Genomic DNA, 27,705 nt, shown 5'->3' on the forward strand with positions numbered 1-27,705 from the left:
GCATGGTGCTGGTACTGAATATTCTCAATATTTACAATTCGGTCTCCCCCAAAAGAGAAGAAAAACAAGGGTTTTAAAAGAACCAAAGAAAAGACAAGGAATAACATTCTAGTGTAAGAAAAAATATTTTTAAAAATGAGAAATATTGGGAAGTTAAAACTCAGGATGGGTAAACTTTCATATAAATACACACTGGGGGGATGTGAGGGAAAAGGAAGGACCAGTTCCTCAATCATATTTCTCCATGGTACCACAATAAAGAGACAATCCCATTTTCAAAGAAATTAGCTTTTATTTGAGACTACTTTTCCCCACATGTATCTTTTAAGAATTCTATGCTATGTGATAACCTGCTTATCCACTGTCCCAATACCAAAATTTCTAACAGCGAATTATACAACTGCTCTAGGTAATAAATAAGGGTTGTCCTTCACTGATTAAGGGAATAAACTTCAATAAACTTAACAACAACAAAAAAAATCACACTTTAGTTTTTAAGTTTTAACAGATGTATTTCAAATACAGCATGTTTTACAGGAGTTCACAAGCTTTTCATCTCTAAAAAAAAACTTTCAACTACCTGACTGTTCCATTCCACCCCAGACAAACCTGACATGACTGAACTACTTCATGTGTTACTTTCCCAAAAATAAAGTTAAAAAAAAAAAGGAACTCATGATAAATGCAGATCTCTAATACAGTATCTAACACAAAAGAAGCTTTAAAAAGACAGTTTCTTTCCTTATTTGATTAGCTAGAAGTTTATCTAGGTAAAAGCAAAAAAAAAAATTTACAAAGCATAACATAACATTGGGGTTCTTTTTATACTCAAGATGTTTAACTGTTCAAAATGACAACAATTACATCTTTTAAGAGTATAATAAAATGGGTGGAAAACAGCAACACAACTGACAAAAGTGTAGATGCTAAATAAACCAAAGTTTTTTTCTTAAGGAGTAGGAAGAATCCACAGCTTGGGGAAATCTCAGAATTAAAAAAAAAAAAAAAAAAAAGAGGAAAAAAAATGTCCTTAATTGCAACCATTCCGTTATCAATAGCGTCCTAAAAGAGAAAAAGCAAAAAAAAAAAAAAAAAAAAAAAGTTAACAATTATAGTTTAATTTGCCTCATATTTTTCCAACTATTAACTGCCACCTTCCACCTTATACTCTAATATTCTAAAGTAAGCCATTAATTAGAAATGAGGTTTTTTATGCTACAAAAGTAAAGTTCACATACTTGGGCTGTAGGAACGAGATCTTGATCGTGATCTATATCGACTATAATAAGGAGAAGGTGATCGTCTTCTGTAAGAAATGAAAGATTACTTAGCATACTATATAATCACTCCACTGAGGCAGATGAAAATAAAAATTCCTCATCATTCAAAATAATAATGTACCTAAGGTGATAACTACTTAATATTAAGTTCTCTTTCTGCCAATGAGACCAGAAAAGTATATAGCACAACAAAATACTGACATATACAGACTGCTAACTTCTGCTCCCAAAGGCGTCATATATGATCTATTTTAAAAATCAAGTTTTTATTCATATGTATCCAACATAAAAGTGCCAAGTAACACTACTATCATCTAATTTAGAACAGAAAGCTCAAGTTAAAACATTACCTGTATCGGTAATCATAGTCTTCATATCTGTCATACCCACGATCATATCCTCTATCATAGTAAGAATCTCGACGTCTGCCACCACCTCCACCTCCACCGCCGCCGCCTCCTCCACCACCCCCACCACTACTGCAGAAAAATGTAAAAATTCTCCATTAGTGTGAATGACTATTTTCCAGGACACTTTAATACAAATTGAATGGCTTAAAAAAGAGAAAAGTGAGGAAGAACATCCCTTTCATGAGAAATTGCCTCCGTATCTCATTTTACTGACTCCCATGGTATTCTGGTTTGCCTTATTCCCTACATACATAATCAAGAAGGGCTTCACAAAACTCTCAAAACTATTAACTGCTTTTCTACTAATGCACTGCCCAAATTAAAATCTTTTCAACAAATTGAAACGATGAAGCACTGTGTTGAGCAGCAGTATAAAAATGCTAAGATGCATTCCTACTGCTAAATGAGACTGGTAAATAAATAAATAAATGAATAAAAGGTGTATCCCTGTGACTAAAAGGCAATAAACACCAAGAATTTTTAAGTAACTCTGGACACCAAAGAGAATACCAAGGAATGACTATATTCCTTCTTTTATTCCCAAGAAATACCTCTGTGAATACTGCCTTTGGTTGTATATTTTATTTTTATTTTTTGAGACGGAGTCTTGCTCTGTCGCCCAGGCTGGAGTGCAGTGGTGCGATCTCGGCTCACTGCAAGCCCTGCCTCCGGGGTTCATGCCATTCTCCTGCCTCAGCCTCCTGAGTAGCTGGGACTACAGGTGCCTGCCACCATGCCCAGCCAATTTTTTGTATTTTTAGTAGAGACGGGGTTTCACCGTGGTCCCGATCTCGTGATCTCGTGATCCACCCGCCTCGGCCTCCCAAAGTGCTGGGATTACAGGTGTAAGCCACTGCGCCCGGCAAATGAACATCGTGAGCCAGCCAGGAGGGTTGTATATTTAAAAACATTATCAAAACCCCTACTTATGTTTTTTTTCTTTTTTGAGAAAGAGTCTCACTCTGTTGCCCAGGCTCACTGCAACCTCTGCCTCCCAAGTTCAAGTGATTCCTGTGCCTCAGCTCCCGAGCAGCTGGGATTACAGGCATGTGCCACCACACCTGGCTGATTTTTTATTTTTTTTTAGTAGAAGCAGGGTTTTGCCATGTTGCCCCTTGCCAGAATCAATTCTAATTATAGGAAAAAAGTTTCTGAGTAATCAAAATTTTGCACATATTTCTGGTGGATTTCATAGTTTAGCTTAGGAAACTTGAACTCTTACTGAGTTGGTCTGCCCATGTAGATGCCTGGTGTTGGTGTGTGCGCTCTCTTGGTTATAGAATAATCCACCCGAATTCTTCTACCATCCAGCTCCATTCCATTTGCCCTTTCCATAGCCTATAAAGAACAGGCACAAAAAGTCACGTATAATTCACCAGTCTTGAAGTAATCATTACTTAAAATTAAGCACAAAGTATATGTAATCCAAATAAACTCCTGATTTTGAAAATGACAGCAATGTAGCTTGTACAGGGCATTGTATAGACAATTCTAGACCTCAACAATGTCCAGAACACATTTAAATTTACTCAGCAGAAAGAGTAGTTAATAAACTTTCCCAAATAATTTTCCAGTTCTGGTTCAATTCCCATTCCCCACTCCATGAGATCAACAAAGAGTAGTTAACAAACTTTCCTAAATAATTTTCCAGTTCTGGTTCAATTCCCATTCCCCACTCCATGAGATCAACAGGGGAGCGGAGACTGAAGTCTTTTCAAGCTAAATTTTTTGTAGGTTGCCCAGGTAGACTGCCATTTCATACTTTCTAGTCTCCAGCGATTTCACTTACAAAGACTGACTTCAGAACATTAAAAAGGGTTTGCTAAGCTTTATACATGTTCTTTTTATAACCTGCCCCCAATCTTATTCTTTAGTTTGCAGTCTAGTACACTGATTAAGACTCAGTGAGCAGCCAAGAAGAAATGATATAAACAGACAAGAACAAATTTATCGTAATGCCTTTCAACCTTTTATTGAGACTGAACTAATAAAAGTATAATAAACTAATAAAAACTACACAATTTTTATGTATCCACAAATATTTCTCCGTAAGAGTGTCCCATAAACTAAAGGTCATTAAAAAAAAAAAAAAAAAAAAAAGGAGGTCTCACTCCATTGCCCAGGCTGGCAGTGGATCATAGTTCACTGTGGCCTCAAACTTCTTGGCTTATGCAATCCTCCAGCCTTAGTCTCCTAAGTAGCTAGGACCACAGGTTTGTGCCACCATGCTCGGCTAATTAAAACAAAAATTCTTGGTAGAGAAGGGGTCTAAACAGTATTCCATTCAATGGAATGCATTTTATTATTTATTTATGAGACCAAGTTTCGCTCTTGTTGCACAGGCTGGAGTGCAATGGCGTGACCTCGGTTCACTGCAGCCTCTGCCTCCCAGGTTCAAGTGATTCTCCTGCCTCAGCCTCCCAAGTAGCTGGGACTACAGGCATGCGCCACCATGCCCAGCTAATTTTTTGTATTTTTAGTAGAGATGGGGTTTCACCATGTTGGCCAGGATGGTCTCGATCTCTTGACCTTGTGATCCTCCTGCCTTGGCCTCCCAAAGTGCTGGGATTACAGGCGTAAGCCACCACGCCTGGCCTGCATGCATTTATTTTTGTAGAGACAAGATCTGTTGCCCAGGCTGGTCTCTTAACTCGTGGCCTCAAGTGGCCTTCCCACCTCAGCCTCCCAAATAGCATGAGCCGCCTTGCACAGCCTAATTCTTGAAGATAAGAGTTGTCTCTTTGGTCTCTTTGAAAAGAACTCTGAGAGTATTATTTGTTTCTGGGACAATTTTTTTTTCCTATTCTCTCACACACATATATATATTTGTAGAGACCAAGTCTCCCTATGTTTCCCCAGGCTGGTCTCAAACTCCTGGGCTCAAGTAAATCCTCTTGCCAAAGTGCTGGGATTAGAGGCATGAGCCACCACACCCGGTCCAATTTTTAAAAAGAACTTTACATCACATAAATGTCTGCAAAAGCAAAGCTGCAACAAATTTAACACATCTTCCATTTGAAGTTCCAAAAATCAAAATTCTCTAAGTTGATCTCCCTGCACCCCATCCTAAGCACCCCCCAAAAAAACACACACAAAATCTCTAAGTACTTCTTACTAAAACAGGGTGAGGAGCTTATATTATTATCTTCACCATATGCACACTAATAACTTTGAAACTTCAGTGAAATTTTCAGAATCAGGGAGAAGTTAGTCAAAAAGGAATACAAATTTTAAAAAGATTTTAAAAATCACTTTAGGCTGGGCGCGATGGCTCACACCTGTACTCCCAGCACTTTGGGAGGCCAAGATGGGGGGATCATGAGGTATCAAGAGATCAAGACCATCCTGGCCAACATGGTGAAACCCCATCTCTACTAAAAATACAAAAATTAGCTGGGTGTGGTGGCATGCACCTATAGTCCTAGCTACTCGGGAGGCAGAGGCAGAATTGCTTGAACCCGGGAGGCAGAGGTTGCAGTGAGCCGAGATTGTGCCACTGCCCTCCAGCCTGGCAACAGAGCAAGACTCCGTCTCAAAAAAAAAAAATCACTTTAGCCAAGTGAAGTGGCTCATGCCTGTAATCCTGGCACTTTGGGGAGGCCAAATCACTTGAGGTCCAGAGTTTGAGGCTAGCCTGGGCAATGGGGCAAAACCCCGTCTCTACCAAAAAATACAAAAATTAGCCGGGCATGGTGGTGCGCACCTGTTGTCCCAGCTACTCGGGAGGCTAAGGTGGGAAGATCACTTGAGCCTGGGAGGCGGAAGTTGCAGTGAGCTGAGATCGTGCCACCACACTCCAGCCTAGGCGACAGGGCAAAGAGCAAGACCTCATCTCCAAACAAACAAAGAAACAACAAACAAACAACAAAAAAAGAAAAAAATCAAATCACTTCAGATTGCCTGTCCCTAAAGACTGGAGACAGTCTCAGCCATACAGAAGAAACCATACAACATGCCTGTGTTAGCTGAGAATTCAGCCTGGGCAACTGAAAAGAGAAACTGTGATTTAGCTGACAAGCCTCGTCACCCCGCTCCTTAAGTAACATATTGTCACCTAGTGAACTAAAAGGAACTTCTAATCCTGCCACTAAGTAACTGCTCCTGTCTTTAAAGTTGCCAGTTAAGCTTTTTTTTCTTTTCTTTTTGAGATGAAGTGGAGTCTCACTCTGTTGCCCAGGCTGGAGTGAAGTGGCACAAACTTAGCTCACTGCAACCTCCGCCTCCTAGGTTCAAGCAATTCTCCTGCCTCAGCCTCCCGAGTAGCTTGGGGTTACAGGCGCTTGCCACAATGCCCGGCTAATTTTTGTATTTTAGCAGATGGGGTTTCACCCTGTTGGCCAGGCTGGTCTTGAACTCCTGACCTCAGGTGATCTGCCCGCCTCAGCCTCCCGAAGTGCTGGGATTACAAGGTGCGAGCCACTGTGCCCGGCCTGCCATTTTAGTTTTATCCAGAAGTGGAAGGGGACAGGTGGAATCAAGAGATAAACACGTTTCACATTAAAAAATATTAATAATAAAAAAATTACACTGTTCTGGCTTGCATTTTGCAACTTTTACTTCAGCTCAGATATCCTAGTATTTCTAAATTGATAACATGTATCTCTTAATTGAGAAAAGGAATATATAAATCACAAATACGTAACAGTAAAAAAAAAAATCATAAGACTGACAAATTAAGGCATTAAACTGCCTGTGACATAAATGACTTAAAAACTAAAGTACTAGTTTGTTAGAGTTATCCGGGGTTTCTCAACCTTAGCACTATTGACATTTTGAGACTGATTCTATGTTATGGGGTGCCAGCTTGTGTACTGTATGGTTATTTAGCAGTGTTCCTGGCTTCTACCCACCAGATGCCAAGAACTTACTGTTTTTAAAAGATAGCCTTATTTGGCCAGGCGCGGTGGCTCACACCTGTAATTCCAACACCTTGGGAGGCTGAGGCGGGTGGATCACGAGGTCAGGAGATTGAGATCATCCTGGCTAACACAGTGAAACCCTGCCTCTACTAAAAATACAAAAAATTAGCTGGACATGGTGGCGGGCGTCTGTAGTCCCAGCTACTCGGGAGGCTGAGGCAGGAGAATGGCATGAACCCGGGAGGTAGAGCTTGCAGTGAGCTGAGATCGCGCCACTGCACTCCAGCCTGGGCGACAGAGCGAGACTCCATCTCAAAAAAAAAAAAAAAAAAAAAAAAAAAAAAAAAAAAAAAAGAAAAGAAAAGAAAAGAAAAACACCCTGATTATTAAGGTCTAATAAAACTTCCAGATATATACAAATATATATATATTAATTTAAAAGACAGAAGGTCTAACAAAACTAAAAGTATTGAGCTTCAAATTCTTTAAAATGCAATTTTCTAAATCAATTACTATCAACTTTTAGTAAAGAGTAAGCGAGCCTAGGCCAGGTATGGTGGTTCACATCAGTAATTCTAGCACCTTGGGAAGCCAAGGCAGGAGGAACAGTTGAGGCCAGGAGTTGTTCCGAGACCAGCCTAAGCAACACAGCAAGACTCCCTGCAAAAACTTAAAGCAAGCCTACCACTTCCTTTATAATACCGAACATGTTAGAATAGCACTATTTCAAGTCATTGACATTGATTAGTTCATTGTGTTAGGCAAGTTAAGAATAGCACTAAAAAATTATCAATTCTTTCCATGTACTATTTTTCAATTATTGAACACACTGATAAATGAACATTTAGAGAATAGAAAAACAAGTTCCTTCCTCATTATAGACACAAAATTAAACATATCAAACCCACACATCAGAATTATTTTTTAAAAGTTAATGTAATCATCTGTTTGGAGCATCATTATGGCTTATTCAAAAGAGAACACTTACACATATACTTTTTCCATTAATTTAAACACATATAGCTCACTTTACACAGCCAGATTTCAATTAGGATATGCCTATAGCAGAGAGCATAACCAAAAAAAGTGAAACTGTAGTCACTCCAATTGTTAACACTGAGAGGCAGAGTTTGAATCAGGTCAAAATTAGAAAGGACACAACAGGCCATGTATGATGGCTCATGCCTGTAAACCCAGCATTCTGGGAGGATCACTTGAGGCCAGGAGTTCGAGATCAGCCTGGGCAACATAGTGAGACCTCATCTCTACAACAAAAAATTATCTGGGCATGGTGGCCCACACTTGTAGTGTCTGCTACTCAGGAGGCTGAGGTAGGAGGACTGCTTGAGCCCAGGAGGTCGAGGCTGCACTCCAGCCTGGGCAACAGAGCAAAATCAGCAAGATCCTATCTTTTTTTTTTGAGACGGAGTCTCACTGTGTCGCCCAGGCTGGAGTACAGTGGCGCAATCTCGGCTCACTGTAAGCTCTGCCTCCCGGGTTCGCGCCATTCTCCTGCCTCAGACTCCCGAGTAGCTGGGACTACAAGCGCCGGCCACCACGCCTGGCTAATTGTTTGTATTTTTAGTAGAGACGGGGTTTCACCGTGTTAGCCAGGATAGTCTCGATCTCCTGACCTCGTGATCCACCTGCCTCGGCCTCCCAAAGTGCTGGGATTACAGACATGAGCCACCGCGCCTGGACGCAAGATCCTATCTTTAAAAAAAAAAAAAAGAAAAAAAGGAAGAAAAAAGGATGCAATGTTTACAGAAATAAGTCTATTAATCAACTTTTCACACTAATTCAGTACTATAATCAGGCATATAAAAGACAAATTTACCTCCTTTGAGTCATCTATTCTCTCAAAATACACAAAAGCAAATCCTCGAGATCGCCCAGTTCGCTGATCATAAACCACATTGACACCACTCAATGGTCCATATCGAGAAAATACTTCACGAAGATCCCTCTCTGTTGTGTACAAACTGAGGCCAAACACTCCAAGGCAAGTGTTGGGATCTGGATTTGCCTATTGAATGGAAATATTATTTAAAACTCCAAATTAAAATCAAAATCAAAGAAACACAGAAATACTTTGTTTAGAACACCTCATCTAATACACAATAAATATATTGTTTCTAATAATTTGGAGATAAGATTTTAAGAGAACTAGAGCAGATGAGCCATATTTTACAATTCACAGTACACCCAAGGCCTTCTTTGGGATATGCTTTCTGTCTATAGCCTGAATTAAAATGTTCTTACTCTCCAGCCCAGCAATGTTCATAATGTATCCTGAAAATCTTGTAATCCCAGCATTTTGGGAGGCTGAGGTGGGTGGATCACCTGAGGTTAGGAGTTCGAGACCAGCCTGGCCAACATGGTGAAACCCCATCTCTACTAAAAATACAAAAATTAGCTGGGCATGGTGGCCGGCGCCTGTAATCCCAGCTACTCCAGAGGCTGAGGCAGGAGAATCGCTTGAATCCAGAAGGTGGAGGTTGCAGTGAGCCAAGATCGAGCCATTGCACTCCAGCCTAGGCGACAAGAGTGTTAGAAATGTTTGTTTCTCGGTGTTGTAAAGAAATAGCACTTGAACATACATTTTTTTAGTAAGGCCATTTTTATTTTCTGTAGAAAGGGTACGCTTGTCAGCAGTTTTGTCACAAGAGTACACTGAACAAAGGAGACAGGGTCATTTATAATCTGACGTGTCTACCTTACTGTTGTGTCTGTTTTTTATTGGCTGGAATGGGACTTCACATTCTGATTTGTCTTGATTGGCTAGTAACTTCAAACTTTTTAAAAGAGGCAAAGGCGGAGGAGAACAAAGGAAGGAGGAAGTAATTTGTGGAATGTTGAGAAAGGTAAAAACACCTTTAAATAAGGAAGAGGAACAGGCTATGACCTAATGCTTGTTTGGACCAGTATAAGCATGTTAGGGCAAATACTTAGGCTAAATTGTGGGAGCTAAGAACATAAAGTACATTGATTTTTTTACTACGGCTAGTAGATTTTTTTTTTTTTTTTTGAGACGGAGTTTCACTCTTGTTGCCCAGGCTGGAGGGCAATGGTGCGATCTTGGCTCACCGCAACCTCCACCTCCCGAGGTCCAGCCATTCTCCTGCTTCAGCCTCCCAAGTAGACGGGATTACAGGCATGCACCACCACCCCCAGCTAATTTTGTATTTTTAAGTAGAGATGGGGTTTCTCCATGTTGGTCAGCCTGGTCTCCAACTCCCAACCTCAGGTGATCCACCCCACCCGGCCTAGCAGATATTTAAGAATGTTAGCACAGCTCTTTGAATAAATTTTGCTTCTAAGAGAAATTATTATCTATTTCTAATTAGATGGGGAGGAAAATCTCTTTGAACAACCTTTACTTTTTATAAGAGTGAAACTCCGTCTCACTTATAAAAAAAAAGTATCCTCAGTTTAATACCATCTTTCTAGTTAATTCAAATGCTTTACATCCCTTACAGATTTGTACTTAATCTGACTTCATCTGTAATTGTTGATTTAGACCTCCTCTCCTCCATTTTCTTTCTTTTTTTTTTCTGAGACAGGGCCTCACTCTCTTGCCCAAGCTGGAGTTTACTGGCCTGATCATGGCTCACTGCAGCCTTGGCCTCCTTGGGCTCAGGGAATCCTCCCATCTCAGCCTCCCAAGTAGTCGGGATTACAAGCGTGAGCCAATATGCCTGGCCCATTTTCATTCTTTAGCGAGGATATTCTTTCAGTGTTCCCACAATCCAGATTTTAGAAATAAATTTACAGATTTCAAAACATTAAATAATGACATGCTCCACCACAGTTTAAGTTAGTATCCTGTGGGAGAAGCATAGTACAGCATGCAAACATGTTCTAAGAACTTTAGAGCCCGGCTGCCTGGTTGAAACCTAGACTGCTAGTTAGCAAAAACTAAACCAAAACCAAAACTAAAACTCCTTCAATGTCATACATCCAAGACTCAATTTTTTTTATATATAACATAACTTGCCTCACAGAAATGTTAAAAGCTTTAAGTGTACTGAATAAAAGTGTTAGCTATGATTACTACAAAGTTTTTAATATTTCTTTGACCCCCTTACCCCATCAAAAAACTTTGAATATAACCCAGTATTCCCAACTCAATTTATGCTTTTCACTTGAATTCGTGGAACATATTTCTTTTTTTTTTTTTTTTTTTTTTTTGAGACGGAGTCTCGCTCTGTCGCCCAGGCTGGAGTGCAGTGGCGCCATCTCGGCTCACTGCAAGCTCTGCCTCCCGGGTTCACACCATTCTCCTGCCTCAGCCTCCGGAGTAGCTGGGACTACAGGCGTCTGCAACCGTGCCCAGCTAATTTTTTGTATTTTTAGTAGAGACAGGGTTTCACCGTGGTCTCGATCTCCTGACCTCGTGATCCGCCCACCTCGGCCTCCCAAAGTGCTGGGATTACAAGTGTGAGCCACCACGCCCGGCCGGAACATATTTCTTCCCAAATTTCATCTCCTTTTCTTTTTTTGAGACAGAGTCTCGCTCTGTCTCCCAGGCCAGTCTGGAATGCAGTGGCACAATCTCGGCTCACTGCAACCTCCACCTCCTGGGTTCAAGGGATTCTCCAGCCTCAGCCTCTCAAGTAGTTGAGATTACAGGCGTAAGCCACCACGCCTGGCTAATTTTTGTATTTTTAGCAGAGATGGGGTTTCACCATGTTGGCCAGGCTGGTCTCGAACTCCTGACCTTAGGTGACCCACACCCTTTGGCCTCCCAAAGTGCTGGGATTACAGGTGTGAGCCACCACGCCCAGCCTTCATGTCCTTTTTACTCAAACGTCATGAAAAGAAAAATATACTCCCGGCCAGGCATGGTAGCTCACGCCTGTAACCCCAGCACTTTGGGAGGCCAAGGCAGGTGGATCACCTGAGGTCAGGAGTTTGAGACCAGAGGGGTCAACATGGTGAAACCCCATTTCTAAAAACACAAAAATTAGCTGGGTGTGGTGGTGCACACCTGCAACCCCAGCTATTCAGGAGGCTAAGGCCGCAGTGAGTCGAAATTGCACCCCTGCACTCCAGCCTGGGAGACAGAGTAAGACTTTGTCTAAAAAAAAGAAAATATACTTCCTTTGCATTCTTTGTCATAAAACATGGTAAGCTTACGAAAGATGGTGGCATTTCCTTTACTTTGAAAGCTAAAGCAGCTTATTAAGGATGTTTCCAGAGTATCACTTCTAAACAATGGCCAAGCTCCCCTAAAAGCAAGATATGCCATGACTAAACACATAAAAGAGAAAATAAGTCTTCATTAACTTTTATAAACCACGTACCCTGCTGCCAGTATGTCTTCTCCGGTTAGACATTGGAGAATGGCTTCGGCTCCTTCGCCGCCGGTATTCTGGTGTATATGATCTACTTCGAGATCGTCTCCTATGAGAGTGAGAGTGGGATCTGGATCGAGTGTAACGTCTATGAGAATGTCTCCTTGACCTCGACCTTTGAGAGAAATACATTTAGGTAAAAATACTGAAACAAAATGGCTAAAGTCCTTCCCTCTTCCAAGAAGGTATACATATATCCCTAACTATTCTCAGGTCCTTCCTCCTTGCTTCTGAGGAAAGGGTATTCTTCCTTTGGTTCACTTAAGTCACTACATCTTCCACTCTTCTCAGTCAAGCCCCTCTACATTCACCCTTTTCACCTAACCTTACAAAAATGTTAAGGCCCCATCTTCTTTTAAAAAACAAAAAAAAAACAAAAAACAAAAACCCACTATTGCTATAAAATAAAATCGTGGCCGGGTGCGGTGGCTCATGCCTGTAATCCCAGCACTTTGGGAGGCCGACGCGAGCAGATCGCGAGATCAAGAGATCAAGACCATCCTGGCCAACATGTTGAAACCTCGTCTCTACTAAAAATACAAAAATTAGCCAGGTGTGGTGGCAGGCACCTGTAATTCCAGCTACTTGGGAGGCTGAGGCAGGAGAATCGCTTGAACCCAGGAGGCAGAGGTTGCAAGCCGAGATTGCGCCACCGCACTCCAGCATGGTAACAGAACGAGACTCTGTCTCAAATAAATAAATAAATCCTTTGATTCTTAGCTAAGTGCAGTGATGTGTGCTTATGTTCCCAGCTACATGGAAAGATGAAGCAAGAAAAATCACTTGGGGCCGGGCACGGTGGCTCATGCCTGTAATCCCAGCAACTTGTGAGGCCGAGGCGGGCGGATCACGAGGTCAGGAGATCGAGACCATCCTGGCTAACATGGTGAAACCCCTCTACTAAAAATACAAAAAATTAGCTGGGCATGGTGGCGGGCACCTGTAGTCCCAGCTACTTGGGAGGCTGAGGCAGGAAATGGCGCGAACCCAGAAGGCGGAGCTTGCAGTGGGCTGAGATTGTGCCACCGTACTCCAGCCTGGGCGACAGAGCAAGACTACGTCTCAAAAAAAAAAAAAAAAAAAAAAAAAAAGAGAGAAAGAAAGAAAAATCACTTGGGCCCAGGAGGACAAGTCTAGCCCAGGCAACATAGCAAGACTCCACACTTCTATTTTAAAAAAAAAAACAGAAACAAAGACAAAACAAAACAAAAAAAATCAGGCTGGGCGCAGTGGCTCATGCCTGTAATCCCAGTACTTTGGGAGGCCGAGGCAGGCAGATTACGAGGTCAAGAGATCGAGACCATCCTCGCCAACATGGTAAAACCCTGTCTCTACTAAAAATACAAAAATTAGCTGGGCGTGGTGGCGCACACCTGTCATCCCAGCTACTTGGGAGGCTGAGGCACGAGAATCACTTGAACCCGGGAGGTGGAGGCTGCAGTGAGCTGAGATCGTGCCACTGCACTCCAGCCTGGGAACAAGCACAAAACTCTGTCTCAACAAACAAACAAACAAACAAAATCCTTTTTGATTTTCTGCTACTTTCTCCATATAGTTCTTTGTCGCCCAGGCTGGAGTGCAGTGGCATGATCTCAGCTCACTGCAACCTCTCTCTCCCAGGCTCAAGAAATTCTTCCACCTCAGCTTCCCAGACAGCTAGGACTACAGGCATGCACCACCATGCCTGGCTAATTTTTATATTTTCTGTAGTGACAGGGTTTCGCCATGTTGCCCAGGCTGGTCTTGAAGTCCTGTTCAAGCAATTTGCCCACCTCGACCTCCCCAATTAAGCCAGTGTGCCTGGCCCATAAAGTTCTACATTCCCCTCTCTGCTAAGTATCATTTCCATTTCCAATTCTTCTTTAGCCTGCTGCAATCTAGTATCTGCTAAACTAATTCAACAACCACCTAAATGCCCATCAAAACTGGTAACATTTCTTTTTTTGGAGACAGAGTCTCACTTCTTCACCCAGGCTGGAGTGCAATGGCACAATCTCAGCTCACTGCAACCTCCGCCTTCTGGGTTCAAGTGATTCTCCTGCCTCAGCCTCCCAAGTAGCTGGGATTACAGGCACTTGCCAGCATGCCCAGCTAATTTTTGTGTTTTTAGTAGAGACGGGGTTTCCACCATGTTGGCCAGGTTGGTCTCGAACTCCTGACCTTGTGATCCACCCACCTCAGCCTCCCAAAGCACTGGGATTACAGGCATGAGCCACCGTGCCCAGCCCAAAACTGGTAACATTTCTGAGTCTTCATTTCTTGTTTTTTTTTTTTTTTCCCCCTTCTTGAGACAGAATCTCACTCTGTCACCCAGACTGGAGTGTGCAGTGGCCTGATCTTGGCTCACTGCAACCTCCACTTCCTGGGTTCAAGCGATTCTCCTGCCTCAGCCTCCCGAGTTCCTGGGAACTACGGGCCTGTGCCACCACACCTGGCAAATTTTTTGTATTTTTAGTAGAGACGGGGTCTCAACATGTTGGCCAGGATGGTCTAGAACTCCTGACCTCAAGTGATCCACCCCTCCTTGTGCTCCCAAAGTGCTGGGGTTATAGGCATGAGCCACCACACTCAGCCTAAGCCTTTACTTATTGATGCTTTCTATAACATTTCACTTGTCTACTGCTGCTTTTCTAGTTCCCAGTTGCTCTAATTCCCAGTTGCTTGCAGTCCTTTCTTTGCCTGTAAGACTAATCCGACAGGCCGGGCACGGTGGCTCACGCCTGTAATCCCAGCCCTTTGGGAGGCCGAGGCAGGCAGATCACAAGGTCAGGAGATCGAGACCATCGTGGCTAACATGATAAAACCCCGTCTCTATTAAAAATACAAAAAATTAGCTGGGTGTTGGTGGCGTGTGCCTGTAATCCCAGCTACTCGGGAGGCTGAGGCAAGAGAATCACTTGAACCAGAGAGGCAGACATTGCAGTGAGGCCACTGTACTCCAGCCTGGCGACAGAGTGAGACTCCGTCTTCAAAAAAAAGACTAATGACCCACCCTTAACTAAACTGACACAGACCAGCAGTGATGACAGTCATATAAAATACCTTCTATACGGTACTCAATGAACCCAGGAGGTGGAGGTTGCAGTGAGCCAAGATCACACCACTGCACTCCAGCCTGGGCAAGAGAGCAAGACTCCATCTCAAAAAACAAACAAACAAACAAACTCTTCAACAGTCTCTACTTTTTTTCAGCTCAATAATAACCCATTGTTGATACTGCTAACTGTCCTCAGTAATTCCCTACTTGAACCAGATCACCCATTTTCTGTTAACTAAGTAATCAAGCAAAATTTTTTTGCACGATTTTACAAAGTGAGGATATGGAATACAGGAATAAAACTAATGAGGAAAGACCTTATGAAACACAATAGGTGAACAATAACGCTAGAAGAGTTGATATTTCCCATTTTAGCTAGCACCAATTTACAGTTCCAATTTTTAAAATGAAGAAAAAAAAGTAAGAAAATCCTTAATTTAAAACATCAATTATTACTTTTAAACAGCAATGAAAGTGAGACAATAAAATTCTTCCAGCTGGGCGCAGTGGCTCACGCCTGTAATCCCAACACTTTGGGAGGCCGAGGTGGGCGGATCACCTGAGGCAGGAGTACAAGACCAGCCTGGCCAACATGGTGAAACCTCGTTTCTACTAAAAATACAAAAAATTAGCCAGGTGCCTGTGATCCCAGCTACTCGGGAGGCTGAGGCAGGAGAACTGCTTGAACCCGGGAGGTGGAGGTTGCAGTGAGCCAAGATCGTGCCACTGCACTGCAGGCTGGGCAACAGAGCGAGACTCCATCTCAAAACAAAAACAAAAACAAACAAGAAACTCTTCAGGAGTCTCTATTTTTTTTAAATCAGACAGTGACAACATAAAAAAATTAAGAGTAAGGGAATAATGGATATGTGAATAACAATGTTCTCAGGTGACAAATGAAATGAGACAGGAGAAAAACGTTCTAGGTTGAAGGTGGCAAATGCAAAGGCCCTAAGGCAAAAACATGCTCCTTTCTATTTCTAAGCTCAAATTCTAGCCAGTGCTATTCTGCACATAATAAATTTAATAACTGAGTAGTAAGTAATCAAGCACCGGGCTAGACCCTTGCTGTAACAGAAAACAGTATGGTTGCTAACCCCAAGAAAAGGACAGCCTTTTAACTGATTTTTCTGTCTCATGCCCCTTTGCAAGTAGACTATTCAAAGACATAAAATCTATCCCTCCACCCAAGAAATGACAAGGACGTAAGCTAACTGGTCAGGCTGTTTTAAATTTTTTTTTTTTTTTTTTTTTTTTAAAAAGAAAGAGTCTCTCTGTCACCCAGGGTGGAGTGCACTGGCGCCATCTCTTGGTTCACTGCAACCTCCGCCTCCTGGGTTCAAGCGATTCTCCTGCCTAAGCCTCCCAGGTAGCTGGGACTACAGGTGCCCGCCACCCCGCCCAGCTAATTTTTGTATTTGTAGTAGAGGCAGGGTTTCACCATGTTGCCCAGGCTGGTCTAAAACTCCTGACCTCAAGTTATCTACCCACCTCGGCTTCCCAAAGTGTTGGTATTACAGGTGTGAGCCACTGCACCCAGCCTGTCTTAAAACTTTTTATCCCACCTCAGTACACCTGGGGCATTTGACAGTGAACTTTGCATTGGTTCACTATTGCGTTTCTGTTATCCATGGTGGTGGGACTCCAAATCAGCTAAGGACTTTTCCGCCCAATTACATCTCACCAGAGCTCTACGCTGGACAGAGTCAGAATCTTCAGATAAAAATGTAGCTGGAATGTAAATCCTAAAAATGCTTCTCAATCGTTCTGACCAACCAGCATAGCATACACACATCAACTTTCTCTGCATTAAATTACATGTGAGACTCCAATGCAGAAAACCGCCTTTTTGTTGTGCAAATATTGTTGGCATAGAAACCAGACACTAATTATCAAATGCCAAACACATTTAAATTGATGGCTATATACACATAATTTGTACTGGTTGCAACTATCCAATATATTAATTGGGCTGGGAGATGATTTTAGTATTGATTTCTTATTTTTTCAGAGATAGGGTCTCCCTGGCACCCAGGCTGTGGTGCAGTGGTGCAATCAATGCAGCCTGGAACTCCTGGGCTCAAGCCATACTTCCAAGTCTTTGTCTGGGATATAGTATTCATTTACAAAGAGCAGTCTGAGAAAAACTATAATTTTGAGTCTTTCGTGAAATTTCTACACAAAATGCAGCCAACAACTGCTTTGTCCTCAAAAACCCCAGAAGAATATTTTAAGTATTATCTTAAACACACTTACCTGGATTTTGATCTTGATCGAGAATGGGATTCAGAGTGTTTGGAAACCCTTGATGGACTACGAGATCCTGACCTGCTCTCCGATTTTACACGAGCAGGAGTTCCCGTTGGAGATTTTGACTGAGAGCGAGACTCCTAACAAAGAAGACAGTATTACAAATGGCACTGGTCATGTAGATGCCTAACACCTAACATTTAAAGTACCGTAATTATTTATATTGATTGCTCCTGAAAAACAAATGGTTAGACAACACCCTCCAGAAAAAATTTCAGCTCAATAATAACCCACTGTTAATACTGCTAACTGTCCTCAATAATTCCCTACTTGAACCAGATCACCAATTCTCTATTAACTAAGTAATCATGCAAATTCATCTACAACTTGATCATACAGACACTGGAACATAAACCATACATTTACTTAACCTAGGACCCATTCATTCTTCCAGATTCTTTTAATTCTACTTCACTCTTGCTTTCTACTTCTCTTCATTCTTCATTGAGTTTTTCATTTTTCATACTTCGTGTATTCTTCCCCAATTCAAACAATTCAAAATAGCCTTAAAAAAATATTCAAGTGCTTCTATCTGACCAATCTTCTGTTCAATTTTTTCCCCCATTCAATTTTAATTTTCTGATCTTTAATACTTTTCATTAGCCTTCTTTTATCTTGATTTATCTTCCACATTCTTGGAAAAAACTCTTCAATTTCTTCACGAACATTAACCTTAATGGAAAAAGAACATTTAGTATATTTAAGCACGTGGGGATTATAAAACTCTGCTGGAGTTCAGAATGTTATCTACCAAATGGAAAAGCCAGCAGGTAAAGTGCAAGTAACTAGTTTATTTAAAAAAAAAAAAAAAAAACAATTTTATAGTCTTTAAAATTGTTCAAAACTCTAGTTTCTAACAAAGAGAATTTACTAAATTTCTCTAAATGCTTTTTAAACCATACTCTTCACCCTCCTCCCATGTTTCATTCTAGTTCCTAAAATGTGAGCAATTTTAATATAATTCAAATATAAATCTAACAACTATAATTTCCCCCCACCTAAGTGTTAAATTTTCACTACTTTATAATCTGAAGATTCTTAAAAATAAGCTTTCACTAAGTCATGCTAAGAAATCAAGATATAGTTAGAGCAAGGCATCCCAGGCTGAAATATTTGTACACACCTATCTAAACTCACCCATAGCACATGTCAAGGTTCAAATAAGTCAAAAAGAAAAAAATCAGTAAAATTACACCTTCTCCCAACTTTGACTACTATCTTTGCTCATTCTGACTTAAAATATGTTCTGAAGACAAACATACCGAAAAAACTAATAAGCATGAAATTCTTAAAATTTCCCCATTAGCTTATTAATTCCTGATATACACATTTTTGCAACCAGATCACTTTAAAATGCTCTATTATCCACGACATACCACAATGTGCAAGAAGGTACAAAATTTATATCATAGTCTTTATCTTTGATTCCATCTCTTTAGAATTATGTTCAGTTTTTACATAATTTATGCATTTATGTATACTGGTACTCCCTTCAGTGACTATATTCTATATCCAAAAAGTGATGGGTTTCTGAAAAAATTGGGTGTAAATCAAAGCATTCCAAATAAAATAACTTACTGATCATAAGCTTGTTTTTTTTAACTGCACAGATATGAGGCACTTATGATCAAAACAGGATGGACAGCTTGGTTTCTGTGTCCAGTTAAGCCTTGATTATCAGTGTAAATAATTATCTCAATTTCACAGAAGTAATTTCACACCAATTTATTTATGCCTTAAGACTATCACACAACTCAAACAGCTTTCTGAAAACTTTTCCTTTGCTTCAAGTTTAATGTCAAGACTTATTTATCAAGAACTGTACAAATGCCACCTGGTCATTTTCTTTCAGATAAAAACAAAACTGAAATACACAGCTACCTTTCAGCTCAATACCAACCTTTCCCATTTAGCTACCTACAAGTCTTTCACTGCATCTCAGATACTCTAAACCACTCAACAGATGTCTGGAGCAGGCATAGCAATCTGGGCTTTTTCATTCACTGAAACTATGAAAGCAGCATATTCAGTATCTTATAAAAAAAGGCATGGCTAATTTGCTTGTAATTTAAGTTTCACAGACTGGTTCATTAATCAAACTCATAAGAGTATCTTCCCCTCTTCTCTTTTGGCTTTCCTTTCCACAAAACAGACCCTGTGACATAACATTCATTTATGCTACTGTTGAATAGCAATAGCTGGATTATTATCTACGAACGCTGCTACAGTCCTTCTCAAACATACACAGGAGGCTTTGCTCTGTAAAACACTACAATTCTTTAATTTTACTAGGATGGAAATAAAAACCTTTTATTAAAGTAAACAAGATAATTCAGTAACATCTTAAAATTCCAATTTTAAATCCCAGTTTTGGAGTAGCAACAAAGCATTATGGTATGATAGAATGTCTTTTTAAGAGATGTTAGCTTATTTATTTTAAGAAGGAGGAGTCTCATTCTGTCACCCAGGCTGGAGTGTAATGGTGCGATCTAGGCTCACTGCAACCTCCACCTCCTGGGTTCAAGTGATTCTCCTGCCTCAGCCTCCTGAGCAGCTGGGATTACAGGCATGCACCACCTTGCCTGGCTAATTTTTGTATTTTTAATAGAGATGGGGTTTTCCCATGTTGGCCAGGCTGGTCTCAAACTCCTGACCTCTAGTGATCTGCCCGCCTCAGCCTCCCAAAGTGCTGGGATTACAGGTGTGAGCCACCGCGCCCGGCCAACATCAGATTTATTTTAAAAGAAGCTTTGCTTTTTATTATCAAAGGTGTCACAAATACCTAACCTCCTTTGTTGTCTGCCCTTCTTTCTTTTTATCTCAGAGGAAATCTCAGTCTGCACAAATTTCTTCATGGAAACATCTAAGCTAAAAACAGTCCTCTTAGCTGTCTCTAACTCCTAGCTACAAAGTTGTCACTATGATTTTAACTATTTTTTTTTTTTTTGAGATGGAGTCTTGCTCTGTAGCTCAGGCTGGAGTACAGTGGCACCTGATCTCAGCTCACTGCAACCTCCGCCTCCCGGATTCAAGCGATTCTCCTGCCTTAGCCTCCTGAGTAGCTCAGCTTACAGGTGCACGCCATCACACCCAGCTAATTTTTGTGTTTTTAGTAGAGATAGGGTTTCCCTATGTTGGCCAGGCTGGTCTCCATCTCCTGACTCCTTGATCTGCCCGCCTTGGCCTCCCAAAGCGCTGGGATTACAGGTGTGAGCCACCACACCCAGCTTCATTTTAACTTTCAAAAACAACTTACAAACTTATATTAACAAATCAGTAACTATTAGTAAACTTAACTGGAAGAATAAACTGCCAAGTATATAATTATTTAGAAATAAAGTAACATTTCTCAAAAGCTGTTACCAAATAAATGTCACTTTCACTGAACTCTGCATTAGGAATCAGGCTATAAGAAGTCCTTTATATAAAGAGGACAAATGCTAGGCTAATCCTTTTCTCTCTGACTCGTCTTCATTATGAAATAATTTCAACTTTTTCTCAAAGAAATTCATAAAACTATCCACAATTTGGAAAATGAATTGAAATTGCAAACAAAAAAGATTGCTGGGAATGGGTGGTATCTGCCCTGTTTCACTAGACTACTTGTTCTTAAAGCTGTCCAGTCAAGGAATCCTACCATTTCCTCAGTAATCTGGCTCCTGCATCCAATAACCATTAAAAATACACTGCCCGGTTTAAATGGGCAGATTAATAACTCAACTCGTATCATGAATTTTAACAAAAGTCTTAAATAGGCCTCCAGTCTATCTTATAGGCTATAAAGCAGAAGCCAGGCAGAAAAGTTCTTCTCACAGCACAACCTGCTTTAACAGGTTTTTGTTTTGATGTTTATTTGCTTGTTTGGTTTTTCTGTCACCCAGGCTGGAGTGCAGTGGCACAATCTTCTCATTGCAACCTCCAACTCCTGGGTTCAAGCAATTCTGCCTCAGCTTCCTGGGTAGCTGGGATTACAGGCACCCGCCATCGCACCTGGCTAACTTTTGTATTTTATTTTAGTAGAGACGGGGTTTCACCACATTGGCCAGGCTGGCCTCGAACTCCTGACCTCAAGTGATCCACCCGCCTCAGCCTCGCAAAGTGCTGGGATTACAGGCATGAGCCACTGCACCCGGCCTGCTTGTTTAAACTATTCTTTATTATCAAGATGACCCTGCTGTTGGTTGAAGGAAATGGCCAAAAATTAAAAGGAGGGAACTAACTAAAACACTAAGAAAGTGTTATAGTGTAACCAATACAAGCTGGTTAAGAATTGTCTTTCTGTGTTAAAATAGAGTTGTATTTTACACACTGTGAATAACCACAATAACCATGTACTATTCTTTTAATCAGGAAAAGGGTTATTATATACATGTACACAATGTTGCGGAACATGAACAATTCCTACAGCAAGCAATAACTGCAGTCTTTTAATATAGCCTGTGTCATACTATAAAAAGAAATTCCAACACAATATATATATGTGCTATCCATTAAAATAAATAAACTATTAAATGCTATACTGTAACTTACTCTAACATTAAGGCCAGGCAAATTCTATGCCATTTAATAGGGCCAAATTTACTCAAGTCCAAGTCTATGAGTATAAGCTTGTAAAACAGACTTACTAAAAATGTATTTTCCTGCTACTTTATGACACTGGCGCTCTATTTCCATAGATACACACTAGTGCATTGAGGAAAATCACAAGTACCCAAAAAGAAGGGAAATGTACCGAAATTATTCAAATACCTTACAATATTCATTTTACTACTTACTAAAGAACTTCTTTAGGAGTTGTAAAAAACCTGTATTTACTCAACCTCAGCCTATAGAAAGAACAACAGTTCTGCTTCCTTCCCCTTGAGTATGGGAGAATACTCTTACAGACCCCTATGAAGTTAAAGCAACACTTCCATTATCTTCTTAAACCGTAACTGCTATTAGAACAAATCCCTTAAAAAGAAGATAGCGACTGCTCATATTAAATTGAAATAATAATTTCCCTTCTTTTAAATGCAGCATGCCTATATGCTGCATTCTGAAGTCAATGTGGTCTTTATCTGCAAAGACTCAAACATATTCTAATTCTGTATGTTTCCTTATTCTCTAAAATTTAGAAGTCTTATCATAAATACATGATTTAGTAACTGACACCCACATATAATCAAATTTAAACTCATGCCATAATTGTGAAATCACCTGTAAAATTTATAATCTTTTGTACAAATTTTAAACGTGGTTCATAAGTCTCATAGCTTATATATCCTGATCAATTGTAATGTTCAAAAAACTAATGTATAAGTGGCAATTTCAAAGGTAGAAAAAACAAGTTTGTAAGGACTAATGTGATTTAACATTATGTTCTAATCTTCTGGAGTTATACAGTATTTATGAATCTTGGTAAGTCAGATGATAGGGTCCTGGTTTCAAGGAAAGATCACAACTTTTCTTCTACATATCAGTCAGGCCTAGTCACTCCATCTTTGGTGAAAGTCATGGGACAGTAAGGATTATATATAACTATATATATAAGTAACTTAAAAGGAGGGAAGGGAAACCATATTTCCCTTTAGTATTCTCCTCTCAACTTTTCTTCAGTGTATACAATCTTTCCCTCATCTAGTTGTTACTATTTTTTTCACCTCCATGCCTGTCTTGCTAAATTTGTGAGGACATATGAACAAATAGCAATCAGTTTTAATTCATTAGCACGTGAATACACATCTTTTAGTTATCTAATGGGTGAGCACCCACTGATACTATCAAAGAAAGTTTTCTGCCAGTCAAGTTCTAGGAAACTACTATGCTGATTATTGATGACATTTCACACTTCTTATAATACACATGCTACATCGTAGGTTAGAGTTTGGTTGATTTACAAAATTAAGCCCACAGACAAAGTGTTTTCCAAACCACACATCCCTAAATATTTAAATCCCTGGACATTCTTTCAGATCTCAAGGTTCTATATTCCATTTAATGAGTGGTACAAAGTATAAGCCTCTATGACAGATCTGTAAAATTAGTTATGCGCTGTGGGTATAATTACTTGCACTGCTCCTTTTCAAAATCTTGCCCTCTACTTATATTGAGCAGATCAACATCCTTCAGTGAAAGAACCTCAAATATAAAAATTTGAGATTTTAATTTTTTTTAAGTTTACAAATTCTTTGCTTAAATGGAAGGGGAGAGGAGAACAACTGAAAGCATTAAAATCAGATAAATGATAGTACTTAAATTTAGGAAAATAGATTAAACCCAAGACTCTCTTAGGTTAACACTATCCCTACTATAAGAAAGAAAGCTTTACCCTTATGTAAGGTCAATTTGATGATATATGGAATTAAATTGCTAAAGACGCTGAATAAGCAAAATGCTATGACATCTCTCACATTTATCTTAAAACTTCATACACAAAAAAATTTTAAGCCCAATTTAAAAGTTCTGTGTTTTTTTTTGTTTTGTTTTTGAGACGAGTCTCGCTCTATTGCCAGGCTGGAGTGCAGTGGCCGACCTCGGCTCACTGCAACCTCCGCCTCCCGGGTTCAAGTGATTCTCTGCCTCACCCTCCCGAGTAGCTGGGACTACAGACGCGCGCCACCACGCCCAGCTAATTTTTGTATTTTTAGTAGAGACTGTATTTCACCATATTGGCCAGGATGGTCTCCATCTCTTGACCTTGTGATCCGCCCGCCTCAGCCTCCCAAAGCGCTGGGATTACAGGCGTGAGCCACCGGGCCGGCCTTGTTTTGTTTTTAAACAAGCCAGTCACAGGCCTGGGTTTTGATAGTCATCATCCCTATCATTCTCAGATTTCAGAAAAGGACCCTCCCCCTATTTCTTCTATTTTTAACAAAAAATCTATACACACAAATCTTTTAATTCCAAATTGATACAGATAAATTTGTTTGCCTTTTTTTTTTTCGAGACAGAGTCTTGCTCTGTCGCCCAGGCTGGAGTGCAGTGATGCGATCTCGGCTCACTGCAACCTCTGCCTCCCGGGTTTAAGCAATTCTCCCACCTCAGCCTCCTAAGTAGCTAGGATTACAGGCATGTGCCACCCCGCAGGGCCTGTAGGAGTCTCTCAAAAATACTCCAGCTACTCAAGAAGCCAGAAGAAATCCTGAAAAGGAGGCAATAAGAAGCGGTATTTTTCCTCTTCAACTGTAGAAAACATAAATAACTCTGGAATTACAAGATAGGTCCCTAACAATAAAGAATCATTAACCTCCATGATCAACACTGGGATGCTGTATGAAAATTGCACATTTTTATAAAGTACAGTTCTTAAAATTTTAGGGGTAGAGGTGTAAAATGTTAAGAAAAGATTTCCATTCCCCTTAATTTCTATGAAGGGCATTAACATTTTTTGAGCTCAAAATCCGAATTTTAGTTGAAGCTGTATTGAGGCAAACAACTCATTACTTTTATCAAGACATGCAAAGCCACCGCTTAAGTGCTACCTTCACTCCCAGCTCCAAAGGACATCTCCACTTAAAATTGCTTTTATGGACCTACGTATTTACTTATTTTTGAGACAAGAGTCTCATTCTGTTGCCTAGACTGGAGTGTCGTGGCGCAATTCCGCCTCCCAGGTTCAAGTAATTCTCCTGCCTCAGCCTCCTAAGTAGCTGTGATCACAGGCGCACGCCACCACGCCCGGCTAATTTTGTATTTTTAGTAGAGACAGGGTTTCACCACGTTGGGCAGGCTAGTCTCGAACTCCTAACCTCAAGTAATCCACCCGCCTCAGCCTCCCAAAAATTGTTGGATTACAGGCGTGAGCCACTGCGCCCGGCCAGAAACGATTTTAAAAAGGGCATCTCCAGACAAGCTTCTCGCATTGTTCTAATTCTTTAACCAATTACAAATAAAGACAATTATCTCATCCTATAAAAACTAAAAGACGAAAAATAAAAAGATACAACAGGTGAGCCTACAAGCACTAGTTGATTTACACTAAAATACACTTGGGTACCACTTGTGAAAAAAATATTTCCTATGACCACAAAGGGCCGTAAGAGGGCCCTTTATTTCTATTAAATAAATCTTTAATGCCTACATATACTTTAGCTTAAAAGTGGGTGGGAATCTTTTTTTTTTTTTTTGAGACGGGAGTCTCACTGTCACCCAGGCTGGTAGGTGGGAATCTTAACATGTTACTTTCTTAGGAGGGAAAAGTGACAATTGTCGGCAACTTACTCCTTTCCTAGACTTGATGATAAATTAAAAAAAGAAAAAAAGCAAGCAAACAAGGTCCCTCCAGTAGTCCTCTTCACTCCCCACAAACCAAACCAAACATCAATCCCCCAATTTTTTAACAATGAAAGTTAATTGAAGGAATGTATGAATGGACAGCAAAATTTCTATCGATAATTACTCAACATTTTCAAAACAAGAAGCATTTTACAACTACTATCATATATGTTTATCGCATGATTTTAGAAAGTTCTGTTGGGGCCATCAATACACCATCCTAAAAAATAAGCAGGTTCAATTTTCATTTGTTTCCATGCTCCAAACTTTGTAAAAAAAAATTCCAATCAAAAGAATTAAAGGCAAATTTTTTAGTCTACCGGGTAACTATTATAGTCTATTGCTTTAAATCTTTCCTCAAAGAGAACTAAAGCCTAAACTGACCTTCTGATTTGACTTTTTGGTTCTAGATGTTTATATCATGAACTCCCCAAAAGGACAAAATTCGCCCTTCAGCACACACACCTCAGGTGTTTTTATGTGCTTCCCCTAGTGACTAGAATAAACATCTACACAACAGCCCGGAACGTGTTGCATGGGGCTTTTGTTTTCTTTCCAGGGTTTCACACGAACTCACTTCTACTAACTCACTTCTACAATTCCCTATGTAGGGTAAACTTTGGAAATGAAACTCACTGACAAACGTTCCAGTACATTTAAGCTGGGGATATCGTATTCTTTGTGATGTTTGTATTTCTCCGACCCCAAATATATTAATAAAAACTTTTTTCTGAGCCCTCTTCGGTGGGGGATAGAGTGAGAAGAGAAATGGGAGAGGGCCTGTTAATTTTCAGGTCATCTTTTAAGTTACAGAACAGTATATACTGACTAGTTATCTTAAAAATACTGAGCCAATGAATTCGTTCAGCTATGTAAGATTAAAGAAAGACAGATTTTTTTTTTTTTACCGTAAAAACCTGTAAAGGAGTGGTCAGTTTTTAGATGAAAGGTCATAGGAAGAAGAGCATTAAAAGTTGAGATATAAAGAAGAGAAAAAACCCAACATCGAGGAATTAGAAAAATAAGGCGTGACAGCATTTCCACATTCATTTCGAAGTGAAAGGAAAGTCGAAGGGACATTAAGGGAAAAGGGCTCCTTGCGTAGTTTCCCCTCACAGCTCTCGTCTTAAGAACGCTTAAGGGTCGGTGCGGTCGTTGACTAACCACTTCATTAGGCTCGTCCCACCTTCAACCTCAAGGCTTTCGCCTTTTTAGACGCAACGCCGCCGGTTCCAACAGAGACGCGGCCGCTCACTGAAATAGAGAGCCAAGGAGACACAGGCCCCAGCTAGTCCCACGCCAGCTTCTCCCCGCCCGGAAAGCAGCCCCGCGCACTTTCGATCCCGAGACCCTCTACGATGCTCGGGGTCGCCAGAAATGCCACCGCAGGAAGCACCTACCACTATCCGGACGGAGGGGAGCTCCCTGCCGCCTCCTCCCGCCCAACCGCGACGGGGACCCACACCTCGGAGCAGACATAAGGAAGCCTCAGGGGTGGGGAGAAGGGAGGAAGCAATGCGGGGGCGGGGAGGGAAGAGGACCCAGAAGTCCAGGTATCAGTCAGCCTCCAAAAAAGGGGGAGGGGTGTTATCCGTGGTGTTTGGGGAAGGAGTGGAACCCAGAAGCCATCTTGGGATGGGAGGAATCAATCGCGATGGCTCCAGAGGTTGCTCCTCGCGGGACTACCCGCAACCCCGCCCGACCGCGCTTGTTCCCGTGAAACCCCGAGCATTGGGCCGCCGCCTAGACGGCTCCCGCGGCTTTGTACTCACTCTGCCCTCGAAGTTGTTTTCCTCCACATCACTCATGTCGACGAGGCGCTCCCCAGAACTAAATAAGAGACAAGTCTCGGCTCGAGGGCCGATGGCCTAATTAACCCGCTGACTGGACCGTGGGGAAGAGGAAAGAGTCGGCAACCACAGCCGCTCCACTCCACTCCCACTCGGTCGCAGGCTCCAGCAAAATGGCGCCGGCGCCGCCAGAAATCTCCTGGCCTCCTCAGAGCACGACGTAAAGGGGGCGGGCGTCTCTGTGACGTCACGAGGCTCCACCTCCCGCGAGGCTTTGTGTCGGCTGGGCCTGGAGCGAGGGTGGAGGTTGGCGGGCGGCCTGCGCTCTCAACCTGGGCGCCTTGGAATCGCGGTCCCGTGCTGTCCTCCAAACTTCAGACTCACCTCGGACGCGTCAACCTCTTTG

At 41.2% G+C, this 27,705-nt stretch overlaps 1 protein-coding gene across 9 annotated transcripts, besides 5 other annotated features; it reads right to left on the reverse strand.

Annotated features, from left to right (window-relative positions):
• Nucleotides 1-272: 272 nt before the first annotated feature.
• Nucleotides 273-27,474, reverse strand: TRA2A (transformer 2 alpha homolog). Of its 9 annotated transcripts, NM_001282759.2 has the most exons (10): nt 27,282-27,474; nt 26,674-26,763; nt 17,625-17,925; nt 17,200-17,333; nt 11,856-12,021; nt 8,387-8,575; nt 2,913-3,028; nt 1,631-1,759; nt 1,239-1,303; nt 273-1,062 (listed from the first exon to the last, which is right to left on the reverse strand). In NM_001282759.2, exons 5-10 carry the CDS (start codon nt 11,886-11,888, stop codon nt 1,052-1,054), a joined length of 543 nt encoding a protein of 180 aa, NP_001269688.1. In that variant the 5' UTR covers nt 11,889-12,021; nt 17,200-17,333; nt 17,625-17,925; nt 26,674-26,763; nt 27,282-27,474; the 3' UTR covers nt 273-1,051. The 9 variants fall into 9 exon arrangements, with proteins under 9 accessions (NP_001269688.1, NP_001269686.1, NP_001349689.1 ...); NM_001282757.2 differs by lacking the exon at nt 26,674-26,763 and having other exon boundaries at nt 1,239-1,306; NM_001362760.2 differs by lacking the exon at nt 26,674-26,763 and having other exon boundaries at nt 1,239-1,306; nt 17,614-17,925.
• Nucleotides 26,532-27,102: an enhancer, noted in NCBI's record as "NANOG-H3K27ac-H3K4me1 hESC enhancer chr7:23570658-23571228 (GRCh37/hg19 assembly coordinates)". NCBI's record gives its function as "activates a minimal SCP1, AML or CMV promoter by ChIP-STARR-seq in primed H9 embryonic stem cells {active_cell/tissue: H9 hESC(primed)}" and the evidence as "EXISTENCE:reporter gene assay evidence [ECO:0000049][PMID:30033119]".
• Nucleotides 27,103-27,672: an enhancer, noted in NCBI's record as "NANOG-H3K27ac-H3K4me1 hESC enhancer chr7:23571229-23571798 (GRCh37/hg19 assembly coordinates)". NCBI's record gives its function as "activates a minimal SCP1, AML or CMV promoter by ChIP-STARR-seq in primed H9 embryonic stem cells {active_cell/tissue: H9 hESC(primed)}" and the evidence as "EXISTENCE:reporter gene assay evidence [ECO:0000049][PMID:30033119]".
• Nucleotides 27,214-27,263: an enhancer, noted in NCBI's record as "active region_25732". NCBI's record gives its function as "activates an Ori minimal core promoter by ATAC-STARR-seq in GM12878 lymphoblastoid cells {active_cell/tissue: GM12878}" and the evidence as "EXISTENCE:reporter gene assay evidence [ECO:0000049][PMID:35858748]".
• Nucleotides 27,284-27,333: an enhancer, noted in NCBI's record as "active region_25733". NCBI's record gives its function as "activates an Ori minimal core promoter by ATAC-STARR-seq in GM12878 lymphoblastoid cells {active_cell/tissue: GM12878}" and the evidence as "EXISTENCE:reporter gene assay evidence [ECO:0000049][PMID:35858748]".
• Nucleotides 27,344-27,563: an enhancer, noted in NCBI's record as "active region_25734". NCBI's record gives its function as "activates an Ori minimal core promoter by ATAC-STARR-seq in GM12878 lymphoblastoid cells {active_cell/tissue: GM12878}" and the evidence as "EXISTENCE:reporter gene assay evidence [ECO:0000049][PMID:35858748]".

The sequence above is a fragment of the Homo sapiens genome, chromosome 7 (genome assembly GCF_000001405.40).
Source record: "Homo sapiens chromosome 7, GRCh38.p14 Primary Assembly".
NCBI lineage: Eukaryota > Metazoa > Chordata > Mammalia > Primates > Hominidae > Homo > Homo sapiens.

Bases quoted from the DNA above. Each gene is read 5' to 3' on its own strand.
- TRA2A (NM_013293.5), bottom strand. From the start codon at position 27,317: ATGAGTGATGTGGAGGAAAACAACTTCGAGGGCAGA. The intron at 1,760-2,912 runs GTAAGAGTTCAA...ATTTTTCTGCAG, and splicing joins TACATGGGCAGACCAACTCA to TAGTGGTGGGGGTGGTGGAG. The intron at 1,307-1,630 runs GTAATGTTTTAA...CATTTCTTACAG, and splicing joins GACTATGATTACCGATACAG to AAGACGATCACCTTCTCCTT.